This window comes from Homo sapiens, chromosome 10 (assembly GCF_000001405.40).
Source record: "Homo sapiens chromosome 10, GRCh38.p14 Primary Assembly".
NCBI lineage: Eukaryota > Metazoa > Chordata > Mammalia > Primates > Hominidae > Homo > Homo sapiens.
Genome location: NC_000010.11, coordinates 85,840,355 through 85,867,159, shown reverse-complemented (window position 1 = coordinate 85,867,159; position 26,805 = coordinate 85,840,355). Strand labels below are relative to the sequence as shown.

At 43.4% G+C, this 26,805-nt stretch overlaps 1 protein-coding gene across 1 annotated transcript in view; it reads left to right on the top strand.

The window, feature by feature from the left end:
* The window catches only part of GRID1 (glutamate ionotropic receptor delta type subunit 1), a 767,244-nt gene that overhangs the window by 499,636 nt on the left and 240,803 nt on the right, over positions 1-26,805 (top strand). The window contains exons 7-8 of the mRNA NM_017551.3: positions 10,970-11,131; positions 12,545-12,664. Of these exons, the coding sequence (NP_060021.1) occupies positions 10,970-11,131; positions 12,545-12,664 (282 nt within the window). The remainder of the gene's footprint in view (positions 1-10,969; positions 11,132-12,544; positions 12,665-26,805) is intronic.

Below are 26,805 nucleotides of genomic sequence, written 5' to 3'. Positions count from 1 at the left end.
CAGGTGGGCCCTTTGGTTGCATATCAGACACATTGGATGCAAAAAGTCTTTTCACTGGAGGAGAGAGAAAGAGAGACTGAGGGGTTCAAAGGGGAATCTAGCTGAGGGCCTACTTAAATGACACGTGCCCATGGAGAGGAGAAACAAAGGCACAGCTCCCAGATATGTGGCCGGACATCATCAAATGAGGTAAATGCAGTGTCAGATCCAGGAACCCTGGGACACTATGCCTCCCTCTGTTCCTGCTGAGACCCAGGCATTGCATAAAGAGCAACGCTGAAGTGCAACACTACAGGAATCTTGTAGTAATAGCAGCAACAGTAAAAGAGGAATCAAGTCACCTGGGTTCAAATCCTGATAACTCTAGTTACTAGCCAATTATTTCATTATTATTATTTGTTTATCATTCTGCGCCTCAGTTCCCTCCTCTCTAAATTGGGGGTTAGAATATTATCCCCCAGAGTCATAATTAAAATTAAATCGGAGAACATACGGAAAGCATTCAGTTCAGAGCTGGCTATTAGCAGTACAGTTGAGTATCTCTAATATGAAAATCCGAAATCTGAAGTACTCTGAAATCTGAAATTTTTGAGTGCCAAAATGACACTAAAAAAAGTGCCCATTGGGGTATTTCAGATTTTGCATTTTTGGATTAAGGATGCTCAACTGGAATTGGAATATAATGCAAATATTTCAAAATCTGAAAAAAAAAAATCCCAAATAAAAACACTTCTTGTCCTAAGCATTTCAGATATGGGATACTTAACCTATTATCATCATTACTGTGGAGGTGGACAGGTACATTCAGGGTTTCCATGGAAAGGGTGAACATAGCCTTTTTTTTTTTTTTTTTTTTGGTGTGATTTAGTCTACCTATCTCCAAGCATGCTTTTTAAAGGCATCACTGCAGGTGGGAGGGCAGTTTCTATCTTTCCAGCCCCTTATCACAGGCTTTGTGTACCACTTACTGTCCACATCTCTCCCATGGGTACTCAATCATAGCTTCCTTGCTTGGGAGATGAGAGGCTTTGTATTTTAGGCTCATGTAGTTCTTTATACAAGGCCACAAGACCCTGCTCATTGAAGACCCTTGATAAGGAATTAAAGGATGAATCTATTAAGAATGCAGGTCTCAGTACAAGTTAAACTGACCCTAGATGCCTCTCTCTCTCTCTCTCTCTCTCTCTCTCTCTCTCTCTCTCTCCATATATATGTGTATATATATATATATATATATATATATATATGTATATATGTAAAACACTTTATTAAAGGAATCTCTGTCTCCATTTGTTGCATCTGCTTCCTTGCAAGGCGGTATCATGAGAGGAAAATGTGGATTTATGTATTCATCCTGCCCAACAACTACTTGGGCAGCTGGTAGATTCATCTCATTTACAAGCCATTCCCTTCCAGTTTCCTCCATAGCTATTACCACTTCTTTCTTTCTTAATGACAGTGTGGAAGGCAAACTAATTTCTACTAGCCTCTAGCTGTGAGATTTATCGAGAAGACTCTAACATGTTTAGAACAACTCAAGGAAAAAAAAAATTATGTCATGGATTATTAACTTTGTCTTGATGAAATTAGTGAAGATCCTTTTGGAAATGGAGCTCTCCAGTCCATCTTTCTTCCCCCCCACCAAATGGCTGCTCTTGGGAAGATCATTCTGGTTTAGAAGTTTCTGGGAGGACCAAGAAGAACAGGGAATTTTTGCAAGAGTATCCATCCCTTAGCTTCTCTATTGAGCTGGCCTCAGAAACTCTGTCATCCTCTATGAGGCTTGTGGTCAGGGCTTTCTGTGCTCTAAAGCCAACCAAGAACTATTATAGCAAATCAGTTTGGTTCCTATTTAGCAGAAGGAAAGTCCCTGGGAAGAAAAATACCTAAATATGTGACCCCTAGTGCTCCAAAAGCTTTGCATTTGCCAGCATGCAGCACTGTTGTTTATTTTTCCCCACAAAGCACTGTCTTATTTGTGTGTTTTTGATTCTTGTTTCCTTGACAAGTTAGTTTAGGACTTGTCTGACTCAGCCAGTAATAAAAGTGATAACCAGTCCCTCAGAACCCTGAGACTTTGCTAAGATTTCACAGACATCTTTGCTCAGAGGAGAATCTGTAACGTACTCTGTCTCTGGAACTGTACTGCCCTGTGACATCAGGGCTGCAATTGAAGTAAGAGGCGTATTGTCACATAGCCATCCCCCCATTTATATTCAAATGTGTTTCTAAGGGGTGACAGGCAAATGATGTAAACTGTGTTGTGTGGTCACTGTGGAGCCGGATCCCTGAATTAAGCTTTGGGGGCTAATGTGGTATTACCATAAAATGCTCCCTCAGGTTGAAATTTCTCTTCTTTGTGCATTTTAAAATTGTCGAATGGCTTGATTGAATCATTCCTCCTCTGTGCTGCACACACTCTATTAGAGGATTTCAACCCCTCTCCCTCTAACATCCCTATTTTTTAGGGTTTTCTGTACTCTTCCATGGCTAAAAGGTTTTTGTCAACCTGTTGGTAGAAGCTTGTCCTCTGGAGCTTCACTGAGCCTCCCCATACCAGCTACCTTGGATTTCATGTCACTTTCAATGGTTTACTTAGCCCTAAAAACCCATATGGGAGCATTTAACATGGAGAGTGGGGAAGGCTTTGTCGGAGACAATTGCGCAAGTGTTCTCCTTGGCTGCAACTGGCTGCTATTCTGGCTGCAGGCAGCCATGTGTGCATTTGGAGCCCAGGAAGCCTTGGGTGTGGACAGATAGCCCTCTTCACTTTCACACCGTCGCCTCAGATTCAGCAGTGAGTGGAGCTCCCTGCATCCACTGTGCCCTCTCTTACCATCTGCTTCCTCCTGAGGCTTGGCTGTGGTGCCCTCTCCCAGGACAGCTGGACTGGCAGCAGTTTGGCAGAGACTACACCTGGCATGGATTTCTCAAGCTGTGACATCTGGGTGTCAACTTGTCCTCCCCGCTGATCCCTCTGTCAGCTGCTTGTCTAACTTTGCCGGCCAACCACAACCTGTCTGAGGATTTGGTCAGAGGTCAGTTCCTACTGTTTGCCTCTGTGATGTCTCACTGAACTGTCCACTTTGCTTGATTAATGACAGAGGGAAGAGAAAGCTGGGTTCTTCAGAAGCCTGGAGGAAATGCAGCCTTTCTTAATGAAAACATTTTCCACACTTCCAGCTTTGGTGTTGGGAGGATAATGGTCTGGTTCTGACCCTGGCCTGTGATTCATCTTCCTTCTCCTCCAAGAATGATTTTTACCTTGATAATGCGGATGCACAACAATTCCCTGGGCCCCAGAGCATAACAAATACTAGGCTGGAATACCCTAATAAAACGTGACTGAAGTCTCAGACTTACTACAGAGAAGGCATGTGCTGCTGCCAGGAAGGCAGATAGCCTGGCCACCCGGCAGGCACACCCTCCTGTCCTCCAGGGGCCTCTCCCCCACTGATAGGGGCAGAGGTCTTAGCTGGATCGACCTGGCAGCCTGCAGCACTCCTGAGGAGCTCAACACACTTCATGGGGGGTTTATATGCTTATTATCTCTGGTCCTGATCCTGCTCCCAGGGACTCAATAACTGACCAGAACACCTGGGCTTCCAATGTGCCTGCCTCTACCCTGCCCAGTGCTTGCCCAGGTGGAAAGTCAGTGCCTTCCTGGTTTCAACAAGACAACAAATTCCCTTCTGCACAAGACATCCACTATGGTCTGGATGTTTGTATCCCTCCAAAATTTCCATGTCGAAACCTAATCCCCAAGGTGACAGTATTAGGAGGTGGGACCTTTGGGAGGTGATGAGGGGGGGAGCCCTCATAAATGGGATTCGTGCCCATATAAGGAGCTGAAGAGACCAGACTTCTCCTCTTCCACTCTGCCAGGGCAAGATGAGAAAGCACCACTTATGAGCCAAAAAGCACGTCCTCACCAGACACAGAATCTGTAGGCACCTTGATCTTGTACTTGCCAGGCTTCAGAACGGTGAGAAGTTAAATTTTTGTTGCTTATAAGCCACCCAGTCTGTGTTTTTTTGTTACAGTGACCTGAGTGGACTAAGGCAGCCTTCGCGTCTCCTCAGGAGCCTCAGAGCCCAGAGCCGGTGTTGTACGCGATGGGGAGTTGGGTGGGGCATTTGCATTGTAGCTGCTCAAGCAGGATTCAGCCTTTGAAGCCCCTCCCCGCTGGGGAATGTGCAGTGTTTCTGAGCACTGCTTCCCTGCCCCCAGTGCTCCATTATCTCCTCATCTTGCTTGCTTCCCTGCCCTCCCTCCATTTCCTCCCTCTGGGTCTTGGTTCCTTATTTTCTCATGAAGATCAATTTAAAGTCTCACTGGTGGCCTTTGCTCCTGCTGCCACAAGGTATTTTCCTAAATAAAATATAGTCACTGATGTAATAGAAATTCTGGTAATAACTTTTTAAAAAATCTATTTTTCCATCCCTGGTCCTCAGTCAACTTCTTGTGACTCATCTCTAATTATCCAGCAGCCGAGAGTGTCCATCTGGGTCTCTCAAGAGCTGCAAGCCCCCAACAAGAGCTCACGGCTGAGTTCTCTCCTGCTTCCCAGAGACGCCTCCTACCTTTCCCATTATCTTTCTGAGGACCCACCTCCTGCATGGGCAACTGATGTTGGAAATTTATACCTTGCCAGGATCCTGCTATCTCAGGGAAATGCATAGCCTGGGATTCTGGTGGGAGATGGCCAATTCTACATTTATTCACACAGAGCTCCCATCTCTTTCCCCAGCAGCCTCTATCCACCACCACTTGTCTTCTAAGAAGAGGCATCTTTTTTGCAAATGCCTTGACATCTCTTTAACTTTATGTTTCTAAGAACATGTTTAAAACTGTTATTCAACTTTCAGTAATTGCATAAATACCCATTTATGCATTTGTTATGCATTTCTTCTTATGTTAGACCTTTCATAAATGTTCCTTCCTAATTCTTATAAACCTCTCAAAATTAGGAATTTTAATTTCCATGTTGTAGCAGGTCCTGATTAGGGAAACTGGCATGTGCACAGGCTCAGAGGCCTGAGAGAGCAGGGGAAGAGTTCACTGTGCCTGGGGCAAGGGGTGAGAGGCAAGAAGTTGGGAAGTAACTTGGAGGGGACAACAGCAACTGGGGCTCTGCCCTTGGTGATGTGATGTGGAAGACGTGTATCTGAGAAAGGCAACTCTGTGCAGTGTGGAAAGGGAGGATCTGAGGCTGGAGACAGGTTAACCAGTGGTTACCATCTCCCTAGGTAAAAATAAGGGCACCTGAACTCCACCCCCAAAATGGGAGGTGACCATTGAGTCCTCACTCAATTGAGTCCTCATCTGGAAGCTTCTCCAGGACTGAAACCCCTGAGCTGGTCAGAGGGTGGAGTGCAGAGCACATGCCTTCCATGGATGCTGGACTGCAGCTGGCCTTTGTTCCAGCCATACCCTGCCTGCCTTCCCCACCTCCCCTGCACACCTCGCTGATCTCATTGCAGAATCCACTGTGCCAAAGGCTCCCGTGGCTGAGCCAGCCTTGCTATGTGAATGTCTGGCCTTTGACTGCAGCAGGCCACACTGTCTCCCTCTCAGGAACCAGAGTCAGGGTATTATAAAGCTTCCCCCTCCACCCTCCACCACACAACACACACTCTCTGAGCCTTCCTGTGTTTGTACCTTTTATGAAACATCCTAGGGGCAGAGAAGTGGCCTTTCCCTTAAAGGGCAGCCCTGCAACACCTCAGATCATGTAGCCCTGAAAGGTGTGGCTCAGACCCTGGGGGCTGTGGCAGCTGTGGCTGTGCTGCTGGGGCCTGGAGGAGGCCAGGGACATGTACACGGGTGCTCAGGTGAGCAGATTTCAGGTGGGACTGGGAATTAATATTCAGTGCTGATTCTTGCTTGATCTCTGACCCTCAAGCTATAGGAGTCAGACATGATCCCTTTGTGCCTTTGGAAGGCTTTAGGGACCCAAGGGGCTTTGTGGGAGAGAACGAGTGGTGTTGGAGGATACAAATGCATTTTCACAGTAGTCCTCATGTTCTGCATCCAGACTGGTGCTGACCCCAGCTTCTGGGGACATCCCTGGAGGAGCTCTCAGCTCATACATATTGAAATCTGGAAGCTGCATAGATATTTTATTTGCCTCTTCTATTCATTTCTGTCTCTGCTCCCTCTAAAGATGAAGATGCATGCAAAGATCTTAGAATAGTACTTGGCACACAGGGGTATTACCATCTGCATTCCACAGGTGGGTAAATCAGGGCTGCCACATTGTACCTCTCCAGGGGCCCAGATCACACTGTATTTTATTGTTATCAAGATAAGTCTCAGAGTGTTCAACAGCTTGTTCAACATCACTCAGCAAATGGATGCTAGTGGAGATCTACTTCACTCGTTCCATCAACATTTATTGAGTGCTTGCTGTATCCACGCACTACTGTGGAGACCTGGGGTCCAGCAGTGAGCAAAGCTGGTCCAGGCTGGAATGAATCCAAAGCTGTTGCTGTTCCTATTAGACCACTTGCCTAAGCTGCAACCCTAGTGTGAGAGTCGTACTGTATGGTAATTAGTGAGAGAAACTTGCCGAAAATCTCTGGAGTGGCTAAATGAAACCATCCAGTCCCTCTTCCAGCTCTCTCCTCACTTACAATAGAGCCCATGAGCTGCCAGGAAGGCCTCAAGCCCTTTTCCTGGCTTCTGTCTGGCCTTGACTTCACTCCCTCTAGCATCTCTGACCTGGCTCCAGGTATTTTGCTTTGCAGCCAGGTCTCTCCTCTGCCATGCCCATGGCCTTGACACTCTGACCTCTCTTTTGCTTCTCAAATTTACTCTTACCTGGAATGCTTTTTTGGTTCCTGGAATTTTATGCTGCAGTGTTCCTAGGTCACCCAGAGCCCTGGGCTCCTGCTTGCATGGGGATGAGTGTTTAAATAGTGACAGCATCTGCTTGCTTGCCTTACCTTTGCTAATGGACTCTGTACTGTGCATAACCTACAATATGAGGGAGGGAGGCAAGGACTTCTCCAAGCCGGGCCTCATTCTCTGCACCTGTGGCCTGTGACTCCAGCCTGGGCTGTTGGCCCCTGGTGGTCAATGACGAGTGAGCATCCATGCATCTGGGAGCCTCTCTCCTTCCAGACTTCCTTCTCAGGGGCTTGGCATGACCAACCCTGACACTGATATCCAGCCATCTTCCCTGAGGAAAGGCTTCTTTTATGTTTATCAGGCTCTGGAGAGGGCCCCAAGCATAAACTGCCTTTCTACCATCTACTTGTGATTTTTTTCATCCAAGAATCCCTTCTCTGAATAGGTTGTGAGGTTAGGGCCTTTCCTACCCTCCGCATCCCCACCAGTGAACTGTCAGCTAAAGTCAGTTTGCACAAAGTAGGTCGTCTCAGTGAGGATGCTGAGGTTGGAGAGAAGATGGGGGAGCCACAGATTATTACTGCAGTGTTAGATTATGCCCAAGGCAGGGAGAGACAATATCTTACCAGGGAAGAGTTAGGAGTAAGTGGAGTAGATGGAAACAGCTCCATGGGAAGATCAAGAAGATGTTTTGAGGAGGTTTTAGACAAGAACAAATTGCTGTTTGAACAAAGGAGGCTCTGTCCAAAGTCAAAGTTGGAGGGATAAAATCTCTTTTATCTGCTATCCATTTTCTATAATTTCTCTTTTTTGTAAAACATGGTTAGTGTATGCCTTCTGAGAAAATCCATCCATCCATCAATCACTCCATGCATCCATCCATCCATCCATCCGTCCATCCATCCATCCATCCATCCATCACTTCATCACTCCATCCACCCATCCATCCATCCATCCATCCCTCCATCCATTACTTCATCCATCCATCCATTTACCTATACATCTACACACTCATCTATCCTTCCATTTGTGCATACATGTGTCTACCATGTGTTCGGCCATGAAACATACATTAAGCACCAGCTATGTGCTTTGATTGGTGCTGAGTTCTAGAGATAGTACTTAAAGAGCTCAAAGTTTGCTGAGATAAACACATTCATGAGCTGGCAACATATATAATGGAAGAGGGGTACATCTAGGGTGATATGTGGGCATTGGGAAGGCCTGCCTATCTATGCCTGGAAAAGAGCATTGCTCAAGCCTGTTCCCATGAACTGGGATGTATTCACCCTTCCAAGCAGACATACTTGTGGGAAGACTGAGGGCTTCCTTTGGCCTTTCTGAGTCATGTCCTGCTTTTTCCTCTTTGTTCAAGACCTCTCTGCATTCATACATTTGTTGAGTACCTTAATTGATTGTGAATAGAAGTGCTGAAGTGAAAGGGAGATTCCACTGGGTTCTGGTCAGAGCCACAGATGCGCTGGTGCTGTGGACTCTGCCCTGATGTGTGAGTGTGTGGATGGGTGGGAGTAGGGGTCAAAGAGACCTGGCTGGTTAAATAGCATCAGCTATCAGTTGGTGGCTGGTAGACCCATGAATGTCTTGAGAAGAGAAATCTTCCCATCGTTAAGGATTCTCAGCTTCAAGTTATTCTCTTGGGAAAAGAAAGAAAAAAACAACAAACCAATTCTAAATGGCTTGTATTCCTTATAACAACATCTCCATCATGGGTTTGTTTTCCAGAGGGGAGGAAGACTTATCAACACATGCAGTGGTGGGGGCTCCTGAGGGCTGGGGAGTTGACAGCAACAAAGAGTGAATTAGTCCTGCTCATTGAGGAAATGCTCCTCTAGGCCTCAAGTGGCTGAGGGCACAGTTCTGTCATGGTGTTCCCTGTGCAGTGAGGGGGTGAGCTCCCAGTGGGTGGTGGTACTTAGTTTTCCCTCTGCTGTCAAGTAAGCTCTTGTGTGCTGCAGGCCCCTGAAGAAGGTCAGACCAGGCACTGACCTTCTACTCCCCCTCAGCTCAAGGCTCTTGCTTTAGCACACTCTTGACACCTCTGCAACATCTGGCCATCCTCCACCTACCTGTTACACCTACAGAATGCAGAGGCCCTAGGCATACAGCCCACAATGGTCAGAGCTGGGGGACAGGACAGTGGCAGACAGGACAGAGCTCTTCAGCAATGGTCTGTGCACAAGGATACCTACAGGGGAGGCAGTCAGCTCTGCCTGGATGTGACATGCTGGGAATGGCCCTTGAGGGCTGGACAGGCATGACGGGGCAGATGTTTGTGATGCCTTGCACCTCCTATTGGCTCATCTCAGACTTCAGCTTCAGTTGCTGGAGAGTTCGCGCCACCTAACTTCTGATCTAAGGTTCTGCTTTTGGAGCACCTGGACTAAGAAACATGAGGAAGTAAATTGCAGGCAGAGAACAAGGCACAGAGGTGTTGTGGTACAGGGACATATTGAGGAGAGTAGGGGTGAGGCTGGGGGAGGAGGGGTTCTTTTTGCAGCCCAAGGAGCCTATTTGATCTTCCCAGGAGTCCTGTGAGGCTGACATGATCTCCTATTTTTATCTGGTGATTTTGTTTTTCTAAAATATTTTTAGCAGACGACTTGCTGCTTAGGCGTTCAGAGAATGGTCCCCTTGACCCACTTTGGCTGAGGGTTGTTTGTGCAACAGTTATCAGTGGGGGGCCACAAACCTGACTGAGGGTGGACGCTACCTCGCCCTCACCGCCTTCCCTTCTCCTCCTCTTCTCCTTTGTGCTCCAATGTCCCCATGGAGGGCTGGGGTGGTGTGAAGGTGACATCCGAGAACAGAGCTGTCCTTCTCCCCCATTGGGCTCCCGCTGGGCCCCTGGGAGGGTGGGTGCCATTTTCTAGCTCCTCCACATCCAGATCGGGGTCTATAGCCACACTCAGGAGGCTGAGCCTGGCCTGCCCACCCTGGACCCCACACATGGGTTGGGCCCCAATGCTGTAGTGTCGTTCTTCACACTTCTACCCTAGATTCTCAGTCATGGCCTTGCCCTCCAGAGCACTGAGACAGGGATGTGTCTCCTCTACCACTGAGCTCACATCAGACAACTAAGCAGAAGGGTGGTCCTCAGATGGGCACAGTTGCAAATCCCAAATGTGTTCCCTGGGTGGCAGTGACTCCACTGCAGAGCAGGCACCAGAATCCTCATCTCTTGTTACCACCGTCCTCACTGTTACCTCGTCACTCAGGCCACCATTCACCCTAGGCGTGTCCGGCGACCAGAGTGGTCTTTCTGAGGCCCAGATCTGATCTCCAGCTTCCTGTACACTGACCCAACAAAGGCGTCCTTCTCCCTACAGTCACCTCTGTTGCTAGTCCTCCTTAGTAAGTCCCTAAGTCTTTGCAGGGCTCAATCCCTGCTTCTCTCTTGATCCTGCTCCCTCTGTATTGTACCCATTGACACAGTCGTCTTGAACTGCTTTCAGTTCCTTTAACCCAAGGATCCGCCAGCGGTGGCCAATAGAGCAAATCCAGTATATTGCCTCTTTTGGAAAATAATGTTTTATTGCACATGGCAGCACCCATATGTTTATATATTGTCTATGGCTGCTTTCAAGTTATAACAGTAGGGTTGAGCAGTTGCAAAAGAGACTACTAAGCCCAAAATCTTTATGAGCTGGTCCTTTACAAAAAACTCTGGTGGACTGTGCTGTACCTGGCCCTGTCTCTTGACACCTTCATGCCCTTGCAAATGCTGTGCCCTCCCTTTATCCTACTAATCCTTCAACGCTGAGCTTTCTGCTTATCCTTCCCTCCATCCTCCCTTACCTGAGTAGGTAACTTACCTGTGTGCACATCTCAATCAGCTACAGATAAGGGTTCTCCTTGTTGATGTACACATGCACATCCCACTCTAGTTCCTGAGGCAGGGCAAGGTCTTATTCCATTCAGGACTCTAGAAGCTGGCTGGGTTTTTGAAAGTACACCTAAAAGCCGAGGATCTTGGCATAGATACTGGGCACCACAGCTTAATGTTGGCATCCTGCATTCCTCCTCCTTTCTGTGGGTTTCTCCAAAGCTCTCTAGAAATGCACCTGTGGAAAGGGTTTCACTGCCTCTGTCTTTGCAGATCTCCAACCTCTATCTGTATGACAGTGTTCTGATGCTGGCCAACGCCTTTCACAGGAAGCTGGAGGACCGGAAGTGGCATAGCATGGCGAGCCTCAACTGCATACGGAAATCCACTAAGCCATGGAATGGTGGGAGGTCCATGCTGGATACCATCAAAAAGGTACGTGTGAGGGGGCACCCCCAACCTGGCCAAAGACAGGCCCCTTCTTATACCTCCACTGTGTTCCCCTCTAGTAGCTGGCCTGAAGCTAGGCTCTGTGTGGCTGCCCCAGTAGGCCCCTCCCCATTCCTCTCTCCTTGTCACTCTTCCTGTCCCAGCATCTGCAGGCCAGGTGAGCTGTGGTCCATGAATACATACTATCATTACTGTCTTCAATTTAATATAAGAACTTCTGAGAGGTTAAGCAACTTGCCCTTGGCTGCAAGTAGGTATGAAATGGAGGCAGCTGCCTATCCCGTGTCTGCAAGGTACCCCTCTATGCAGAACACCACTCCCCAAGAAACGAGTGCACCTGTATGTGCGCTTGTGATGTATCTCATGTGCTGAGGAGGGATACTGAATTAGAAAGCTGGATTTGAAGTGAATTGAGTAATCTATGGATGATTTGTTAGAGTGAATTCACTTTTAGAGGCTTCAAAAGAGCATTTAGGGAAATCCATAGCGTTAGGAATTTAGTCACAATGAATTGCATGTGGTTTCAGTAGCAGGGAACATGCTTTAGTGTAGGTGAGAATCTACTACAGCCCAGGGCAGAGCCAGGGCCCCTTCTGGGCCAGGTGTTTCTGGGACTCTGTAGGGTCACAGGGACTATGAGAGATAAATCTTGATGAGAATCTCACCCTGGGCTTGGAGAGAGAAAGGGGCTCACCACGGCTCCCTCAGCCTCCTGCTGCCTCCTTCTCCTATGAAGCCCACTGAGCCAGTAGAGAGAGGCATGGAGACCACAGCCAGTCTATGCTGGATGCTGTGCTTTGTACATATTTTCTCCTTTAGTCTTTGTGGGTTCTATGATGTGGAGTTAATTAACTTCAGGCCAAAGCTGGGAGATGGGCAATGTGCCCAAGGTGGCACAGGTGGCAAAGCCAGGATCCAAGCTAGGGATCTTGCTGTGCCCTCCAATGCACATGTTTGCTGCCCTGCAACTTACCATCATGTGTCTGATATGTCTCCTGTTGACCTTTGAATTTTCTCTTGGGTTAGGCTAAGGTGAGCCCCTGGAACTGATTGCAAGGGGAGGACTAAGCTTCAAGAGGGCAGGAACAAAAGCTACCAATGTTTAATCTCATGGCTAGCATGGTGCCTGGCACATAGCAGGGACTCTAAGCATATAGATGGTATGAATGACAGGTGCAAGCCTTAGGGATTTCTCCCATAAGCAAATATCCTAGAAAGTACTGATCCTGCTCTGAGGGCCTAGGACCACTAGCCCATCTTGTCCTCATTACAGCCTGTCCATGGTCTCAAAACTGATTGCTCCGTTCTTGGTGACCACTTCCTTGCTCCTCTTAGCCTTTGGGACTCCATCCTCTACCTTAACCAGATTTTCCAATGGGTTTTTCTCCTCTTCTGCAGGGCCACATCACTGGCCTCACTGGGGTGATGGAGTTTCGGGAGGACAGTTCGAATCCCTATGTCCAGTTTGAAATCCTTGGCACTACCTATAGTGAGACTTTTGGCAAAGACATGCGCAAGGTAAGCCTCAGGCTCCCTGTCTTCCAATCTTCCTGCTATGGTGCCACCAAAGACAGCAACAGCTACAGGGTCCCTGAGCTCCCAGCAACTGTTAACTAGCACAGATATCCTCCCTCCTAGTCTCTCTCTGCTGATGCTACCATTGGCTGGTGTTTATAGGGCATGCTAGGGAGTAGGTGCAGAGAGGTTTCCAAACAGAAATTGCCTCTAATGGAGTCTCTTTGAGTAGAGCAGGGGTACCTGGTAACAACTGGGTCCTACTGCTTGGATCAGGGGGCTGCATGGAGGCTATAAAGGACAATGTGTTTTCTCAGAGCAGTGAAATCAGCCCGACCACAGGGACAAGTGTGAATTGTGGTTGAGGCAGGAGGCAGAGGTTACAGCCTGAGTGTCCTCCAGATCCAGGAGTGAGACAAGGCCACAAACAGAAAATGGAGCTGCAAGGAGGGTGGAAATTGGAAAATGCCAGAGGCCAGCGGAAAGATAAATGAGAGACAGAGGAGTTGAACAACTCAGACTGAGGTTTGGCTTTTTTATTTGGTGCTGGTGCTGGTGCAGGTGGCAGCCTGGGTCTTCCCAGTGATACTTTTCCTCTTCTTCCACCTCTTATGGGTGATAGAGAACAGTTTTCAGGACTGTGGATAGTGGAGAGTGGCCTTTTATCCAGGGTGGGGATCCCCAAAGTTAAGTGGACTCATGACACAAAGAGTCTAACAGGGCTAGGACAAAGAGGCCGACATGGCAAGTAAGGGCTTAGAACAATTATCCAAGTGAAGGACCTTGGATGTGGTCACTGTGAGCCAATGTGGAGCTGATGGTGGGTATCCTGGTGTGGTCAGTGGCTGGCTGTCCTGGGCCAGCCCAACTCTACTGGCTTGGATGCACTTCCAGAAATAGCCTGTACAGGAGAGGCCAGAGATGGGACTACTCATGGTGTAGATGGGCCACAGTGGCTTGGTCTTCTCCGGAAATAATGAAAGCATTGACTGATTGGCATGTACTCAGGCACAGCCTCATGTATTCACAGACATGCTCACACACACACACGTACACACTTCACACACTTCGAAGGAAGATGTCTCTACTAATGATGGTGCCTGGAGCATGAAGGACAGTCCTCGCAAGTAATAAGCTCTCAGCAGGGGCTGGATAAGCCCTCAGCAAAGAGCCCTCTAGCCTGATGTCACCATTGGCTAGAAGCAGTGGAGGGAGAGGCAAGGGCTAAATGATGTTGGGGTACTGAGAATCTGGGTGGGGGAATTCTTTGGTTTTGCTCCTGAGGGCCAGGGTAGAAAGATGCATGTGTGGACTGGTGGAGGGTGTGAGAGCTGGGGAACAGGGAGGGAGCCGTGTAGAGCTCATCAGTGACAGATGGGGCAGAAGACAAGCTCCCCAGGGAGAGACTGGGATGGCCTGGGTCCATGTGTGATGTGGGGGATGGTGCGGGGGATTTTTAGCCCACTCTGATGGAGGAGAGAGTCATGGATTGGTCATATAAATAATTGAAGTTTCAATAATTTGTTGTGACACAATATCTGACATACATGGCTTGATGGCATTTTGGAGCTCAGAGGTTTGTTGGTGGCATCCTAGAGGGAGTCGGCTAGCAACTATTCTGTGACTTCCCATGTAGGGCCAGGGTGTGACCTGCAATGTCCAGGAAGCCAGGGCTGGCCTATGATGTCTGTTAGGAATGCCCAAAGCTGTGAGACTTGGTGAGGGGATGGGCATGAGTGGTCAGCATTGGTCTGGGTCATGACCACAAGAGATATGGGCTTGCATTGGGACTCCCACCAGGTAAGGAGGGCTCTTTCAATCACTCTGGTGTGAAAAAGCTTGCCAAGTGTAGCTGGCTGCCAAAATAACTGTTCACATCGACCACGGTCCTGGCGCACTTGCCTTCATCCCCAAGTCTTATTTTGAAGTTAGGTCCTGCCTGCCAGCTCCTTCCGTCTCCCACCTACTTCTTTTGGTGGGAATGCTGGCTGTGGAGGTCCCTGCCTTGTCTCAAGCAGCTGACCCTCCAGTCCTGTGCCTGGCGCCAGGCTGGCCACCTCAGGTGCCTGAGAGAGGGGGAGGCACTATGTCCTCCACTTCCTGTTTCAGGTGTCTGGACCTTCCACGTTGCCAAGGCAATGCGCCTCAAAAACCCTGAAGCCAGTGGGAGCTGGCATCTCTCAATATAAGAAGCTTTGAGCAGGAGGCCTGAATGTAATTGAGTTGGAAGGGAAGCTGATTTTCAAGTCGGCTTTATTTTAAAATGTATCTTTTTGTCATTTTAAAATCTGCCCTTAATAACTGCATATCCTGGTTGTTATCTGTCTGCCTAGCAGCTTATCGCTGCTAAGGGGAAGTTATCTGGAAAGCAGGGAGTGGGATTTACTGTAGCAAATGTTTGTGATTCAGGCCTAGGGTGCATTAAAGCAAGTCCAGGGAGTTTCAGATGAACCAAGGAGAAGGGATTAGGACCGTATCATGGGGGTAGGGCAGCATTTGGAGGCAGAGCTGAGTGGTAGTTTCGGGTGGGAGACGGGGCTGTGAAGGGTGGGGCTGGGAAATCGGGGTAACTTAAAAATAAAGGACATTCACATAAGGGAGAAAAAAATTGAGGATGGGTGGCAAATTTGAGGGTAGGGTCCTGAGCCACACCAAAACAGTGCCAAGATCAGTCATCTAAGGAGTGCCCAAGGTCAGAGTCCAAGGAGTCGCAGCTCTCTTGGCCATGCAAGGTACACAGCTGCTAGAGGAGCCGACTGGGCAGACTCCTAGATCCTGTGATGCTGGGCAGGGGCAGCATTCCCTGCAAAGATTATATATGTCATATATGAACAAAACCAGACACAGACAAAACAGTTTCTTTCAGACTTAAACCAAGAGGAATCATTTAAATTAAGTAGCAAGATATTTTCTTAAATACCCTGGAGGGAAATCTCAGGGATGGTGAGTCACCCAGACATTTTAGATTAAGTGGCATCAAGAGACTGTAGATTACTCAGCCCCTTCATTGGAGGGAAGGAGTGGGTGATCGCCTTTCAACTGCAGGGTGCTGGACAAATACTAATTCAATTATCTCATCCAGGAAGTGCGTTTTTAGTGAGTGAGCTTTGTATGGAAAAATCAAAGGTCTATATCATCAGCTTGCTGTGTAACTACAAGCAAAATATTAATTGTCTGTTTTGTACTTGGAGCTGTCTGGCATGGGTCTGCCACCAGGGGAAAGGTTTGCTGGAAACTCTTCCAGCTCTCACAGGCATTGGCCTGACATTTGTCTTGGGGGTGGGGGGTGGTATATGCTTCTTTTATCCTGTTGGTGTCATGTTTTTTTCAGGGCTCAGAACTGTAACAGGACCTCCACAAATTTCTACTTGGCTTTGTTTCTCTTTGTTCAGACAGGAATCTCCAAAAGAGGATTCCATGAACGTGTCCATGTAAATGTCCTTAGCTCATGATTGAGCTCTGACAGATCTGTCAGGGCCACCTGTAGTTAAGTTTCCAAAGGTGGTGTGTGTGGGAAGCTGCTGGGTGTAGGGAGCGGGCAGGAACTGTTAAGCATCCACAGTATCCAAAAGTGCATTGTACGTATGTTGTCTCATTGACCTGGGCCTTTGCTTTGCTCCTGGCTCTGCCTCTCCTGAGTTTTTGCACAACTTCCCTTTTCTGAACCTTTGTTTCTTCAGAGGAAAGTTACAGGTAATATGAGCCTAATTGTTGGATGGAGGGGTCAGTCAGTGTAATGACACTGTGCAGCACTTGGCAGTGAGAGCATGCTCATATGGCACAGGGCATCAGCTTTGGGCAAATGGGACTGTGTGTTTTCTCTGAGCGTATCTATCTCAGACTCCACAAGAGCAGAGAGGCACAGGAAGGCCTAAAACACAGCCTCCAGCCTGACAGTGCCCTAGACTATAGCTCCAAAGCCAAGGCCAGAGATGGGAGGCTCCCTCTTGCAGCCTTGAGCTGGTGCAGCTGGGATCACTCAGCCCTGTGTGCCAGGGCAGTGCCAAACTCCCCTTCTATGCCTGGCAGCAGATGTCCACTCCATATAAAGACCAAGGGCTGAGAGGGATCTGTGGAACTTCACCTCTGATAAGATTTTATTTTCAGGGCTGTTTTGGTGTTGGTGTAATCATTGCAAGAAGAAAAACATGGTTGTCTTTTTTTTCCTCCACAAGCATGACTTGCCTGGATAGGAGCACTAGTTATAGCCCAGAGGAAACATTTCTCCATGACCTGATTGCTGAAGCTGTTCGCCTTTCTCCATCCTAATGGCACTGGTGTAGGCAACTCATTCTCTTCCACTATCTCCGGGTCCCTTGTGCAGGAAAACCCTGGGAGAATTGCCAACTGCTCGCAGGCCCTTTGAACCTCATTTTCCGTGGGTGGCATCCACCCGATTCAGTGGCTCAGTGGAGGGCAGCAGCTGTCCTTGGGCAGGAGGGTGGGGGAGGTAGACAGGAGCATCTGGGCAGCCTGTGGCTTTGTTTTATGCCTTGCATCCTGGATGAGGGAGACCCTGATGTGGTGTGAGACAACACAGCTGTTTTCTTCTCCTTTCTAGAATCAAGTTAGGACCAAGAGAGGCTGAAGGAGTATTTTGTCCAGGGGGTCAAGCTTTACTCTGGCCCTACAAAGTCTGGTCAAGCAGGATCTTGCTGGGACCCAAATGTATTAAACAGTCATAGAAGCACATGTGCTGGTTGCAATAGGTGGGGAATTGGGGTCTGCACAGCTAAGTTTAGGAAACAGAGGCCCAGAGACTGGGGAGATGCATAGCACCAGCAAGCATGATGCTGTGCTGGGCTTGGAAGGCAGATTTCCTGGGAGTGAGGGGGCTTGGCAGAGGACCCAGAACATCATTTCTGAACTTGAGGCGATGCAGTTCTGTGACTCCCTGTCTCCTCTTCAGCTCACTTTCTGCTCCAACCTTCCCCAGCCAGCATTAGGGCATCACAGTCCCTTCCTGTTGGCTGGGAGCCTGCTGAATTGAAATTTCCACCACTGCCCTTGGCTCAGCCTCCCTGTTCCAGCGATTTCCCAGGGAAATGGAAGGGCCTCATTCTCCTTTACTAGTTTAAGACGCTTCTTCTAACTTCTCTGTCAATTTTGATTCTTCATAAAAGCTGGCTTTGGATGGGAATCAAATGCCCCCCTTGATGTTGCATCCCTGGGAGAGCCTTGTGTCTGCTGATAATTCACTGAGTAATAACTGCTCTTTGTGCAGGGATTGCCACGCCATAGGACCCCAGTCCTCCCTGAGCTTGAAAGTGCATCATTAACATCCTCGTGCAGATCTGCTATGCAGTGTTACAAATTGCCCCAAATTCTCGGGTTCAGAAGTTGTAAGAGGTGAAGCCAGGTTGAAAAGGCTAACTCGTAATGAAGTAGAAGCTACCTTTACCTGGTGGCTCCAGCAGTTGGTGCTAGGAGCCTGGGAAGTGGGCACAGCAGTGAGGAGGGGGATATGGGTGGAGGTGGGGCTGGGAGGATCTAGTCTGAGGACTGTGCAGTGTCTCTATTAAGCTGCTCCCATAGAGACTTCCAGCTGTGCACAGTGAGTCGCAGAAGAGAAATAAACTTGAGTCTCTTCATGGATTAACATTCTTCCAGTGTATTTTCAAAGTAAAATGTCAACCGTTCTGAACCCTTGTGCAGAACTATTTTTGACAGAGCCGAGAACTGAAACAAACACTGCTGCTTCATCCCAGTAAAGGAATAAGGAAAAGATGCAATCAAGTATTTCATTTTAGGTAGTGTTTTTATCAATACATACCCATTAAGGGTAGAATGTTCAGGAAACACAGATAAATGAAAAGAAGAACGTAAAAGTCAGCTACAATCTTTAAACCAAGAATTAAATACTGTTAATGTTTCTGTTGTATTTTCTTGTTGTTTCTTCTCCCTTCATACATAGAGATCATGATATGTATATTTATCAAATTGCTCTTTATTGTAATACATTTTATATCCTGACCTTCCTACTAAATGTTATATTGGGAATATCTCCTCATTTCTTTAACTATGCTTTACAACTATGATTTTTTCAGTGGAAATACATTACTCAACTTACAGGCAGCCATCATTTATTTCATCTTCCTATCTGATGAATATTTAGGTATTTTCACCACATTATTATAGAATAGTGCTGTCATAAACATCTAAAATACATACAATTTTAATTATATCTATATTTATTTCCATACTATATTTTTTAAGAAGTAGAATTACCAGAACAAGAATAATAATTCTTTTAGGCTCCTGATGTACATGATACATATTTTCAAATTGATTATAGAAAGGCCTAATAACTTTCACATCCATGAGTAGTATATAAAGTCTATGTTATATCACATGCTAAAAAATATGGTTGATATATATTAAACATTTTTGCTAGTTTGGCAGCAAGATGAAAAAGTGATATACTAAATTTGCATTTCTTGTGAGATTGTACATTTTAAAGTATAATTATTGGTCATTTGTATTTCACATTTTTGTAAATTATACCTCAGGTTCTTTGCACATTGTAAACTTATATAACCTCTCTTTCAGAAAGGAATTGATAGTTATTTGTGTTCAATATTTTGTTCCAATAAATAGTTTGCCTTTGAATTTAAAAATATTTTCACATACAGACATTAAAAAATATATGTGGTCAAATAATTAGATTATTCATTTGCATTTTCTTATATTTGTGTTTTTTAGGAACTTATACCCAATTCACAAAGTAGATACTGTTTACTCATACTTTCTTCCAGTTATTTTTGTGGCTTGATTTTTTTTTTTCAACAAAATCTACCATCTAACTGGGATGGATTTGGGATAAATTGTGACATGATGGCCTAGCTTTTACATTTTTCCACTAAATGCTTTCTACTACCATTTATACAGCAGACCTTCATTTCCCTATTGACTTGAATATCACATTTTATTATAAGCTATATAAATTTGCATATCTCCTCATTGATTTTTAGAAATTATTAATCATTTTTCTTTTTTCTCTGAGCTTTAATTTAATTCACATTTGTACATTTTCAGAATGTGGTGGCTTCAGATAACAGAATGTCCACCTTAAGTGGATTAAACAATAAGGAAGACTTACTATTTCACATTAAAGAGGACTGCAACTAGGAAGGCTTCAGGGTTGGCCAATTCAGACACTCCTGCTGAGCCCAAAGGCCCAGGTCTTTTTCATATCTCAACTTGGCTATTCTCAGGGCATAGTCTTAATTTTTCTCATAATTTCAGAATGACTATGGCAGTTCAAACTGTCATACCCAGAAAGATAGCAGTAAGTAGAAGAAGAGTATCTTTTCTGTGTGTCTCCATTCTGTAAGTGAAGAGCCCTTTCCTAGAAATTGGTCCTGGCTTACTGTGTTATTTTATATCATTTTGTTTTTTTGTTATAGCAGGTGAGGGTTTCCTGCTAGATGCGTAGGTAACATTGGCAGAATTTCTCTCTCAGATGCTTGTGTTCAGCTTGTGTTAGGCTTGTGCTCTTTTCATAACATGGGAAAGAAATTGCTCATTCTTTTGTACTTGCATAGGCAGAGCTCTTGAACGCTGGAAAGAATTTGACTGTACAATTTTCTGGGCTAGCTGCTGGTTTTGGAGATATTACTTTTGTATCTTGGAAACTTTATTTCCTGGTTTCTACATTTCATTTAATCATTTTTAGCAATCTGCTTCACTGAAAATCTTGCAGTTCACTGGAATTTTCAAATTCATTACTTACAGCTCTATATAGTACTTGTAAACAATTTAAAAAATACTGAGCTGTTGACATATCTCCCTCTTCATTCCTATTATTACATATTTGTGTTGTCTTGCTTTATTTTTTGATTAGACTTGACAGCAGTTTTTTCTATTGATTTTTTTTCAAAGAACTAGGTCTAATTTGTTTAATCATGTTTTGTATTTTTTTTCTGTCTGCCTGCTGCATAATAATTGTTTTATTCTTATTTATTTATTACTTTTCGAGACACAGTCTCACTCTGTTGCCCAGGCTGGAGTGCAGTGGCACAATCATGGCTCACTGCAACCTCTGCCTCCTGTGTTCAAGTGATTCTTGTGCCGCAGGCCCACGAGTAGCTGGGACTATAGGCACATGCCACTATGCCTGGCTGATTTTAGTAGAGATGGAGTTTCACCATCCTGGTGACGCTGATTTCAAACTCCTAGCCTCAAGTGATCTGCCCCCTCAGTCTCCCAAAGTACTGGGATTATAGGTGTGAGCTACTGCACCTGGCCAATTTTATTGCTATTTTAAAAAACTTTTTATATGAGGTGGTAGATTTTATTTTTATTCTTTCTTGTTTTGGAATGCCTTGTTTTATTCTGAATATAGTTGTGACTGAATTCTTAGTGGTTTTACTAATATAAACTGAAGTGTAACCCTTATACAGAAAAATTTCTAAATCTTACGTGAATCACAGTGAATTTTCAAAAGTGAACATGTACATACAGACAACACTCACATCAAAGAACATCACCAGCACCCTCAGAGCTCTCCCCTGTGCACCCCTTTCATCACCACACCCACCAAATGGAACCAGTTTTGATATCTAATGCCCTTAATTAGGTTTTTCCTGTTTTTAACTTGATATCAGTGATATCAAATGTTCCATACTCTTTTGTATCGTACTTCTTTTGCTCAACATTATGTTAGTAAGATTCATCATTATTGTTGTATGTAGTTTTAGATAATTCATTATTGGGTTTTACAAGGAAAGTTTTATTATCATACAGGTATAGAGAGGCCAACAAATCAGGGGACGACTGCCATTGAAAAGATAGGTTGTTACAGTTCCCCAGAGGGGCATGCGAAGCACACTAGACAGGGCCACAGGGTCAGTCAGGAGGTGGAGGAAAACCTGAGCAAGCTTCATACTTATTTTTCAAGACAGACTTGGTGATTCTTGACTCTTTGTATTTTCTTATACATTTTAAAATTAGATTTTTATTTTCCACAAAAAAATTTGGGATTTTGACTGAGATTGCCTTGACTCTTGATCAATTTGGGAAGTGTTAATGTCTTACCAATATTGAGTAACCTAATTCATGAATATAGTATACCCCTCAATTTATTTATGGCTTCTTCAATTTCTCTCAGTAAAGTTTTGTAGCTTTCACTGTAGAGATTTGAATAACTTTTGTTTGATTTATTCCTGGATATTGATTTATTATTATATGTAGTAAATTTCAAATTGATTTTTCTACTTGTTACTGTGTGTATATAGAAATAGAATTGGGTTTGCATATCAAACTTATTTCTAGTGAACTAACTGTATTTGCTAGTTTAGATTATTTTAGATTTTCTGTATACACAATCATGTCATCTATGACTAATAAAACTTCTATATTTGCATTTCTAATTGTTTTTTTTTTATTTCTTTCTCCTGTCTTGTTGCATTAGTTAGGGTCTTTAGTTCAAGTTAAATAGATGTAATAACAGTGGACATCTTTATTTTGTTCTTGATATCAGAAGATAATTTATAATAATTTATTCTTTAATATGTTTACTACATAATTTTGGTTGATGTTCTTTTTTCAGATTAAGACAATTCCCTTGAATTCCTAGTCTACTAATAGTGTTATCAAGAATGAGTGTTACATTTATTTAAAGGCTATTTTGCATCTATCAAGATAATTATATAATTTTTATTCTTGCTCTTTCCTGTTAATATGATAAATTATGTTGATGTATTCCTTTTTGTTGGTGCTCATTTCTCTTTATTGCACCAATACCATACCATGCTGTTATTATTATTTTATAGTATATTCCAATATTTGCTAAGTTTGATACCATCTAATTTCTCTTCCTTTTCAGAATATTTTATAATTAAATTTTTATTTTGAGTTGGTATAGATTTACATGCAGTTTTAATAAATAGTATAGAGAGATCCAGCATACCCTTTATTTAGTTTCCCCAATGATAACATCTTGCGATACTGTTATGCAATAACACAATAAGGATACTGACATTGATACAAGCTATGGATCTCATTCAGATCCACATTTTCCCAGTTTCATTTGTGTGTGTGTGTGTGTGTGTGTGTGTGTGTGTGTGTGTGTGTGTGTATTTAGTTGTATTCAGTATTTTCCTGTCTGAGCTGATATATCCCCTACCACATCCAACACACAGAATAGTTTTGTTACCAAGAAGATTCCTTCCCCATTTTCTCTTTTATGACCACATGGACCTAACTCATACCTCCCTGCCCTTCTTGTTCCTACCTCCTGATAACCATAATATTTTCTATTCTACATTTCTAAAATTTTGTCATTTAAAAAATATTATATATGTTGAATCACACAGTATTATAATTTTTATTGGCTTTTTCTAACTCTAGAAAAAAATGGCACAATTTTCTAGAGGTTCCATCCAAGTTGTTGCATGTGTCAAGAGTTTCTCTCTTTTATAGTTGAGTATTATTTCGAAGAATGGATGCCTCACTATTTGTTTAACCATTCACCCACTGAAGAACATCTGAATTATTTGCAGTTAGGGCAGTTATGAATAAAGCCACTATGAGCATTTGTGTACAGGTTTTCTGGGATAAATGCCCAAGAGTGCAATTGCTGTGTCATATGGTAATTACATGTGTAGTGTTAAAAAAAAATTACAGCCAAACTGTTTTCCAGAGTAGCTGTACCATTTTATACTTCAGCCATGAAATGCATAAGAAAATGCCTCTACATCCTCACCTGCATTTTGTGATATCACTATTTTTTATTTAATAATTGCATGGAGATATCTTATTGTGGCTTTAATTTGCACTTCACTGATGGTCAGTGGTGTTGAATGTTTTTTATGTGCATGTTTGCCTATTTGCCATCTGGATACCCTCTTCAGTGAAATGTCTGTCCAAGTCTTTTGCCTGTTTTTCTAAGACGATTGCTTATATTGTACTGTTGAGTTTTGAGAATTCTTTATATATTCTAGATACTAGTCTCTTATTGGATATATAGTTTGCAATCATTTTATTGCAATTTGTATTTGGCTTTTCCTTTTCTGTTGAGGATTTTTTGCAAAGCTAAAGTTTTACATTTTAATGAGGCTAAGTGTATCAATTTTTCCTTTTATATATCATGATTTTGGTGTCAAGTCTAAGAATTCTTTGCCTATCCCTATATTCCAAAGATTTTTTCCTATTTTTTTAAAGTTTGATATTTTCATATTTTATATTTAAGTCTATAATCCATTTTGAATTAATTATTTTAGACATTGTGAAGTTTAGGTTGAAGTTCATTTTTTTTTCCCTATAGGTATCCAATTGCCTCATCACCATTTGTTTAAAAGACAGTCCATCCTCCATTGAATTGCTTTTGGACCTTTGCCATAAATCATTTTGGCATATTTGTGTGGGTCTATTTCTGGGTTCTCTAGTCTATCCCATTGATCAATGTGCCTATCTTTATGACCCTGTCTTGATTACCAAAACGTTTTACACATTGTTGGATTGTATTTGCTAAGGCGTTATGGGGGATATTGCTATTCTGAGTTCATGAGAATATTGAGGTGTAGGGGTTTTTTTTGTTTTGTTTTTGTTTTTGTTTTTTCGCTGTTGTACTATCATATCTGCTTTAGGCATCAGGGTAGTATTAGCCTCATAAAATATGTAGGAACACACTTGTTTTTCATCTTTTGGAAGAGATTTGTAGAATTTGGTTTTAATTGTTTAAATGTTTGATATAATCCTCTAGTAAAATCATTATAGTCTGGGGATTTCTTTTACAGGAGCTCTTAAATTACAAATTAAATTTCTCTAACGGTTATTGGGATATTCAGATTATCTATTTCATCATGGTTGACTTCTGGTAGTTTGTAGGAAATAATTGGTCATTTCTTCTAACTTGTCAAATTTATGAGTGTAATGTTGTTTGTATTTTCTTTTATTGTTCAAATGGCTATAGCATCTGTAATAGTATCTCTTGTGTTATTCCTGACATTTGTGATTTGTCTTTTCTTTATTATTATTTTTGTTAGTCTTGTTAGAGGTTTATCACTTTTATTGATTTTTTAAATTTTTATTTTAAGTTCAGGAATACATGTTTAGGCTTGTTACATACGTAAATGTGTGTCATGGGGGTTTGTTGTACAGATTATCTCATCACCCAGGTATTAAGCCTAGTACCCATTAGATATTTTTCTGCTCTTCTCCCTCATCCCATCCTCTGCTCTCCAATAGGCCTCAGTGTGTGTTTCCATCTATGTGTCCATGTGTTCTCATCATTTGACTGCCACTTATAAGTGAGAACATGCAGTATTTGATTTTCTGTTTCTATTCTGCTAAGGATAATGGCCTCCAGCTCCAACCATGTCCTTGCAAGGGACATGATCTTGTTCTTTTTTGTGGCTGCATAGTATTCTAGGGTATATATGTACCACATTTTCTTTATCCAGTCTAGCATTGATGGGCATTTAGGTTAATTCCATGTCTTTGATATTGTGAATTGTGCTGTAGTGAACATACACATGCATGTGTTTTTACAATAGGACAATTTATACTCTTGGGGTATATACCCAGTAATGGGATTACTGGGTTGAATAGTATGTCTTTCTTTAAGTCTTTGAAGAATTGCTACACTGTCTTCCACAATGGTTGAACTAATTTACACCCCTACTAACAGTATATAAGTGTTCCCTTTTCTCCATAACCTTGCCATCATCTGTTATTTTTGACTTTTTCATAATAGCCATTTTGATTGGTGTGAGATGGTATCTCATTGTGCTTTTAATTTGCATTTCTTTAATGATCAGTGATGTTGAGCTTTTTTTCATATTATTTTTGGCTACCTGTATGTCTTCTTTTGAAAAGCATCTGTTCATGTTCTTTGCCCACTTTTTAATGTTTTCTTTTTGATAAATTTGTTTAAGTTCCTTATAGATACTAAATATTAGGCCTTTGTGAGATGCATAGTTTGCAAAAATTTTATCTCATTCTGTAGGTTGTCAGTTTACCCTATTGGTAGTTTCTTTTGCTTTGCAGGAGCTCTTTAGTTTAATTAGATCCCATTTGTCAATTTTTGCTTTTGTTGCAATTGCTTTTGGCCTCTTTGTCATGAAATCTTTGTTCATACCTATGTCCTGAATGATATTGCCTAGGTTGTCTTAGAGAGTTTTTGTAGTTTGGGGCTTTACATATAAATTTTTAATCCATATTGAGTTAATTTTTGTGTATGGTGAAAGGAAGGAGTCCAGTTTCAATCTGCATATGGCTAGCCAGTTATTCCAGCACCATTTATTGAAGAGGGAATTTTCCCTATTGCTTGTTTTTGTCAGGTTTGTTGAAGATCAGGTAGTTGTATGTGTGTGGACTTATTTGTGGGTTTTCTTTTCTGTTCTTTTGGTATAGATGTCTGTTTTTGTACCAGTACCATGCTGATTTGGTTACTGTAGCTGTATAGTATGGTTTGAAGTAGGGTACCCTGATACCTCCAGCTTTGTTCTTTTTGCTTAGGATTGCCTTGGCTATTCAGGCTATTTTTTGGTTCCATATGAATTTTAAAATGTTTTCTTCTAGTTCTGTGAAGAATCTCAATAGTAGGTTAATAGGAATAACATTGAATCTATAAATTGCTTTGGCCAGTATGGCCATTTTAACAATATTGATTCTTTCTATCCATGAGCATGAATGTTTTTTTCATTTGTTAATGTCATCTCTGATTTCTGTGAGAAGTGTTTTGTAGTTCTCTTTGTAGAGATCTTTCACTTCCTTGGTTAGCTGTATTCCTTGGTATTTTATTCTTTTTGTGGCAATTGTGAATGGGAGTATGTTCTTGATTGTGCTCTCTGCTTTACAGTGGTTGATGTATAAGAATGCTAGTGATTTTTGCACATTGATTTTTGTACCCTAAGACTTTGCTGAAGTTCTTTATCAGTTTAAGAAACTTTTGATCAGAGTCTATGTGGTTTTCTAAATATAGGATCATATCATCTGCAAACAGGGATAGTTTAACTTCTCCTCCTCCTATTTGGATGCACTTTATTTCTTTCTCTTGTCTGATTGCCCTGGCCAGGGATTCTAATACTATGTTGAATAGAAGTGGTGAGAGAGCGCATCCTTGTCTTGTGCCAGTTTTCAAGGGGAATGCTTCCAGCCTTTGCCTATTCAGTATGATGATGGCTGTGGGTTTTTTACAT